This window comes from Homo sapiens, chromosome 10 (genome assembly GCF_000001405.40).
Source record: "Homo sapiens chromosome 10, GRCh38.p14 Primary Assembly".
Taxonomy (NCBI): Eukaryota; Metazoa; Chordata; class Mammalia; order Primates; family Hominidae; genus Homo; species Homo sapiens.
The window spans coordinates 59,620,993-59,627,710 of record NC_000010.11 but is presented as its reverse complement, the minus strand read 5'-3'; the positions used below and the strand labels follow the sequence as shown (position 1 = coordinate 59,627,710).

General features: G+C 44.0%; 2 annotated features.

Moving 5' to 3' along the window:
• Nucleotides 1,214-1,433: an enhancer, noted in NCBI's record as "active region_3386". NCBI's record gives its function as "activates an Ori minimal core promoter by ATAC-STARR-seq in GM12878 lymphoblastoid cells {active_cell/tissue: GM12878}" and the evidence as "EXISTENCE:reporter gene assay evidence [ECO:0000049][PMID:35858748]".
• Nucleotides 5,046-5,340: an enhancer, noted in NCBI's record as "tiled region #11473; K562 Activating DNase unmatched - State 12:CtcfO". NCBI's record gives its function as "activates a minimal TATA promoter and a strong SV40 promoter by Sharpr-MPRA in K562 cells {active_cell/tissue: K562}" and the evidence as "EXISTENCE:reporter gene assay evidence [ECO:0000049][PMID:27701403]".

Below are 6,718 nucleotides of genomic sequence, written 5' to 3'. Positions count from 1 at the left end.
GGTTTGTCCTGCCACCCATGAGCTCATATGCTTCCTGAGGAGACCAATATACAATTAGGATACAAGTTGAGAAATGTCATGGCAGAGATAAGTGCAAACTTCATAGGTGTGAGTGATATTTGAAATAGTTGACAACTGGCCAGGTGCGGTGGCTCATGCCTGTAATCCCACAGCACAGGGAGGCTGACGTGGGAGGATTGCTAGAGCCCAGGAGTTTGAGATCAGCCTGGGCAACATGGTGAAACCTCGTCTCTACAAAAATTACAAAAATTAGCTGGGCGTGGTGGCTCATGCCTGTAGTCCCAGATACTCAGGAGGCTGAGGTGGGAGGATTGCTTGAGCCTGGGGGGTGGAAATAGCACCACTGCACTCGCTCCAGCCTGGGTGACAGAGTGAGTTAGACCCTGTCTCAAAAAAAGCAACAACAACAAATACCAAATATTTAACAATTGTTAGAGTCACTGCAAAGGCTGTTTCTTACCCACAGCCAGGGCAGTGTGACTAAGACATGCCAGATGGGAATAGGGCATTCTCTTTTGGGTCCAGGCCCATCCTGGGAGTGGTGGGATGGATGTGAGGGAATGAGGGGCCTCCGTCAAGCTGGCTGGGTGGCAGGCGCTGCACGGCTCTGAGGGATTGAGCAGCCGAGGCAGTGGGACATAGTAAGGGGCTGAGGCCCAGGGCAGTGTAAGCATCCCATTGGTGTGGAAGTATTTCCATATTTTACCAATGATATGCTCTTTGAGAAGCAATATCCCATGGAAATATAATGAGAGCAATATCTATGTAATGAAACATACTTAGGAGACAAAGAATAAAAGTAAAAAGAAACAAGGGAAATTAAATTTGGCATTTGTCTTACTCAGTAGGTCCAAAATGTTATCTCAACATGTAACTAATATCCAACTGATTAATGAGCGATTTCACTCTTTTTGTTGTTGCTGAAATCCAGTGTGTATTTTCAGTTTAGAGCCTGCCACCTGTGGTTACCGTATTGCACAACACAGGTCTAGTAGGAAGGATTGTGAGAAAAGCAGCCCTCTGTGCTCCCTGGATTTTGGGGGAGGTGACCTTCCAGTTGCCTGGAATTTTCTGCAGGATCTGTCTGTGGTTTTCTTCTTTGATTAGCCCACCTGTAAACCCACGCAGCCCTTAACAGGTGCAGAATTTACAATGAGACACAGTAGCTCTTTCAGCACTGAGCTCCATTACACTAATTATCTGGCCTATGGCTTAGTGCTGCCTTCATTACCAAACCAAAGGCTTAATTGCTCTTTTAAGCTCCTTTGAATTTTTAGACTCAATTTACCTGCAGCCTCCTGAAACTCAGGCACCCGAATTTACTAAGGATAAGTGGGGATTTGCTGTGTGCTGAGGCCTTGTTAGGCCCTCCTAGACTTGCATTTTCTTTTTTATTCAGCGAAGTGAGATAATGGTCTTTTCTTTCCTTTTGCCTTCCTCACAGTTGGTGACACCTGCAGGCTGAAGCAGCATTTTCTGTACTTTGGCACCACCTTGTGGTTCAGCTGAAAAAAGTCTAGAAATGGGCCGCATCCATCTTGGGCTCATTGAGCATCATGAACAGTCTTGAAGGGCCATCTGGCTTTTGTTATCTCCTTCAGCCTGAGAAGAAATGAGATTTGTTACTGGATAGGGAATGTCTCCTATAGGCTAAACCGCCTGCTGAGAAATCCAACGAGGTAATGGCTCCAATTTGAACTAAGCAGAGAGTCATGCAGAAACATCAATCCAGGCTGCCGCTGTTCTCTATTATTTAGATTGAATTGTGTCTACTTTCCACAGATGACTCGGCTCAGCCAGAGAACTTGGCATCTCTGTGTGCTGTTACTGTAAAATGGGGAGTGATTGTTTTCAGCTGCTCCAAGTTAGGAATTAGCTCCTGGCCATTGATAATACCTCCTGGAAACCGTGCTCACTTCATTGGATCCACAACCCCATCTGCAGCTGAATTTTATCAACAGACATGTTGCTTTGGCCAGCATTGGTTGAATATAGTGTTAGAAAACGGACAGATTGTACAGAGGTTTTGCCAAGATCCGTGTCCCAGTAATTTTTACTGTGAGTAACTTTATGCACTTCCCTGTTATTCTACACCTGTACTCCTTAATTCCCTTATCATTTGTTCCTGCGCCAAAGGTGTGTGAGTTTGCAATTTGCTTACTGGTATGGAGAGGCTGTTTGATTTGCTTGTGGTCACTGGCAGATTCTTTTTTTTTTTTTAATTTTTATTTTAGGTATGGGGTACCTGCGAAAGTTTGTTACGTAGATAAACACGTGTGTCACGGTGGTTTGTTGTACATATTAATACATCACCCTGGTACTAAGCTCAGTACCCAATAGTTCCCTTTTCTGCTCCTCTCCCTCCCTCCCCACTCAATAACACCCCAGTGTCTGTTGTTTCCTTCTTTGTGTTCATGAGTTCTTCTTATTTACCTCCCACCCATATGTGAGAACACACGGTATTTGGTTTTCTATTCCTGCTTGCTAAGGATGATAGCCTCCAGCTCTATCCTGTTCCCACAAAAGACATGATCTCATTTTTCATGGCTGCATAATATTCCACAGTGTATATGAACCACGTTTTCTTGTCTGTCACTGATGAACATTTAGGTTGATTCCATGTCTTTGTTATTGTGAATAGTGCTGCGGCGAACATTCGCGTGCATGTGTCTTTATGGCAGAATGCTTTATATTCCTCTGGGTATATACCCGGTAATGGGATTGCTGGGTCGAGTGGCAGTTCTGCTTTTAGCTCTTTGAGGAATCACCATACTGCTTTCCACAGTGGTTGAACTAATTTACACTCCCACCAACAGTTGACTAACTTACCACCGTTAACAATTGACTACTTTATCTTGCAATTTCCTACTTAAAATATGTCATCAGATTTTTGCCAAGAGGTGCTTGTACTCAGAGTGATGAATAAAATCAATATCTTGAGTCCCTGAGTCTCCAAGTGTCAGAAACTTAAGAGACCTGTGTAAGACCTGTGTAACTATTGTTAAACCAGTTAAAATCCAAGGTTTACCCTTCTTTCACTGTGTAACTTGGGCAGAATGTCTATTGGTGAGATTTCTGTGGCTGTTTCCTCTTCTCATTAAATGAATTAATAATATATAACAGCCTTATAACAGGGCCTGGGAGCTACTAACTCTTCATTGATGATGACAGTCAGTGCTGGAAAGAGGGTAAGGCAGGTGGGGATGAAAATTGACTCTGAAAGTGAGCGCCTCACATGCCTGACTCTATCCCTGGCCCTGATGATGACGGTGATGGTGATGATGATAATAGCTAACACTTCTATGGCATTATTTGGAGTGTTAATATCAGAGGCATTTGAACCTGAGTGACTCCGTTTGGAATAAGGGTTGGGTAAAATGAGGCTGGGACCTGCTGGGCTGCATTCTCAGGAAGTTAGGCATTCTTAGTCACAGGATGAGCTAGGTGGTCAGCAGGATGGGTATCACAAGATACAGGTCACAAAGACCTTACTGATAAAATAGGATGCAGTAAAGAAGCCAGGCAAACCCCACTTTTGGGTAATGAAAGTGACTTCTGTTCATCCTCACTGCTCATTATATGCTAACTTTAATACATTAGCATGCTAAAAGCCACTCCCACCAGCACCATGACAGTTTACAAATGCCATGGCAACATCCGGAAGCTACCCAATAGGGCGTAAAACGGGGAGGAACCCACAGTTCCAGGAAGTACCTGCTTTTTTTTCTGGAAAACTCATGAATAATCCACCCCTTGTTTAGCATGTGATCACGAAATAACCATAAAAGCAGCCAACCAACATCCCTTGGGGCTGCTCTGGCTATGGAGAAGCCATTCTTTTATTCCTTTACTTTCTTAATAAACTTGCTTTCACTTTATGGACTCAACCCAAATTCTTTCTTGCATGAGATCCAAGAACCCTCTCTTGGGGTCTGGATCGGGCTCCTTTTCTGGTAACATTAATGTTTTCGCTGCGTTCAGTATAGGCCAAACAAACATTCTGAGGAACAGCTGGATAGCCATGATCCAATCATCCTTCTCTCTCCTCCCGTTTTGAGATTTCACGATGCAGTCTTCATTTCTGGGATAAGGCATTGTGCTCTGGGCCCATGAGAAGACTTCGGAAGAATAACACACGAAGCTCTCATCCCATCGTTGTGGACATTTCCCCAAGGTTTAGCTGAGGGGATGTTTGAATAGTGACTACTGGGGAGAAAATGGTCAGTGTGCAAGAGACTTGCCTGGGTAGATAGCAAAGAACGATTTGTGAATTGGGTTGTCCCTGAACAAGAACAAGTTCAGAAAGTCTCCATGCTGCTGCATGGTCGAGATGATTTACAGACAGAAAGAGGAAACGTATGTACAGAAAATGGAAATGAGGTACAGAAACAGCCAGATTGATTACAGCTTGGCGTTTGCCTTATTTGAACACAGTTTGAACAGCTGGCCTGTGAGTGGCTGAAACTTGGTGATTGGTATTAGAGTAGGTTTCAATCTGTTTACACACCCAGTTGGGTTACAGTTTACTATTTATGGGGAAAGCTTTAGGCCAAACTTAAAATATGTAAGGAGGCAGCTTTAGGCTAACCTTAATTTAACAGTAGGCTTAGAACTGAGAGGAGAAAGGAGAGCCAAAAGCGGTAGACTGCAGGGTTCTGGGGACAAGTTTCTCTGATTTCATGACTTTTGGCTGAGCTCAGCCTTACTCACCGTTCCTCATCTGACAAGTGAGCTGGGGGTCCCCTGACGCAGAATGGAGATCCAAGATGTCAAGAAATGCACATTTACCTACAGGATTATATTTACTTATTCCAATAAAGGCAAAGAACAATGATTATAACTAGCAGGGTCAAACAACTTACGTCCCCTCCTTCAGTCCCCAAAGTTAATGGTTTTCTGTATTGTAGCTTCCCCCTTCCTCCCAGAGTCAGAGTGTACCGGCAATTTCAGATATTAAGTAAAAACAGACACAGCTTCTGCCTATGCAGCCTCCTGGATCAGAGGCAACACAGTGAAGTCCTGTCTGCTCTTGGCCCCAACATTCACCTTTTTGATAAGGCTCGTGGGCTGCCATCACACCTGGTGACTGTGTGTGTGTGTGCGCGCGCGCGGGCCTGTGTGCACAAGGGATGTAAGTGGCATAGAAAAACCCTCCGAAATAAAAATTTCTTCCCACTAGGTGGCGTAAGCACCTGTAGTTCTGTGTGAATCTCTCCTTCCAGTTAAGGCAATGGCAGGCCTTAAAAGTATAATTCCGCTAAGGAAGCAATTTAAGCTTTTATTTGTGACTTTATTTTTATTATAAAAGTACATATTGGCTGGGCGCGGTGGCTCATGCCTGTAATCCAAGCACTTTGGGAGGCCAAGGTGCATCACGACGTCAAGAGATGGAGACCATCCTGACCAATATGGTGAAACCCTGTCTCTACTAAAAATACAAAAATTAGCTGGGCGTGGTGGTGCATACCTGTAGTCCCAGCTACTCGGGAGGCTGAGGCAGGAGAATCGCTTGAACCCAGAAGGCGGAGGTTGTGCCACTTCACTCCAGTCTGGCAACAGAGTGAGACTCTGTCTCAAAAGAAAAAAAAAAGTACATATTACATTAGTTCTATGCAAGGTAAATTTTAATGAGGTGAGTGATATGAAATTCAGGTATTTCCCTGAAGGAAAATATCAACATGCAATACTGCAGGGGAAAGGAACATTCCTTCTCATCTGCAATGCACAGTATATCAAGATGGACAGATGGCTGATGGCTGGAGTCTATTAGCAGAAATGTTGCCACACAGGCAGCATGCTCTGAAGACAGAGTATTTGCCTAGCATTTACTTTTTATTTAACTTGGACTACCAGGCAGCAATTAGGTCCAGGCTCTTACATTGACCCTTGCAGGCAGAAGAGGAGGTTTAGTGCTTGAGATGCCTTTCCCAGAGCTGGATCTTAAGGACATGTTCAAGTCTTGATGGAGGGGTGGACTTGGGGCCAACATCAGCCAGTAAGTCACAGACCAAACCATTGTAAAATAAGACCTAGTTCAATGATAAGTGAAGAGCTAAGCATCAGGCCACATATTTGGGGGCAGCTGGGTAGAACGTGGCAGGGGCATCAGTCTCTTTGAATCTCCTTTGAATATTCTACAATCTAGAAACAAACAAGGAGAACTAGGAAATTGAAACTCCTGTTTTCATAGGAAACACAGTGGGACTCACACCCTTACTCCTTGATTTCCTAGGTGTGTTAGTTAGGATGTTTGGATGATATTTACTATCTCATGTAAAAGCAAGGTGGAACTCAGGGCAATTCTGAGGCTAGTAGTTGATGCCATCAGATACTCAAGTTCTGTTTCAATTGATGCCAGCAAGTATTCAAGTTCTATCTTTCTGCTCTGCCATCGTCGGTATGCTGGCTTTTGTCATCAAACATATTGTCCTATGGTAACAAGATGGCTGCCATAGCACCAAGCATCACTGTCTCACACAATCACAATGAAAAGCAAAAGGAAAAAAAGTGAGGAGAGGTAGTTTCTTATACACTCCTTTTTATGAGGAAGAGAAGCATATCTCAGAAGCCCCTTGAAGATTTGTTCTTGCATACTATGGCCTGAATGAGTCACATGCTTATGCCCTAGCTGTGACGTATTTAGTCTCTAGAGTGAGAGGTGAACTTTGCCGGCAGGGGAGGAGTGGGGTAATGTAGC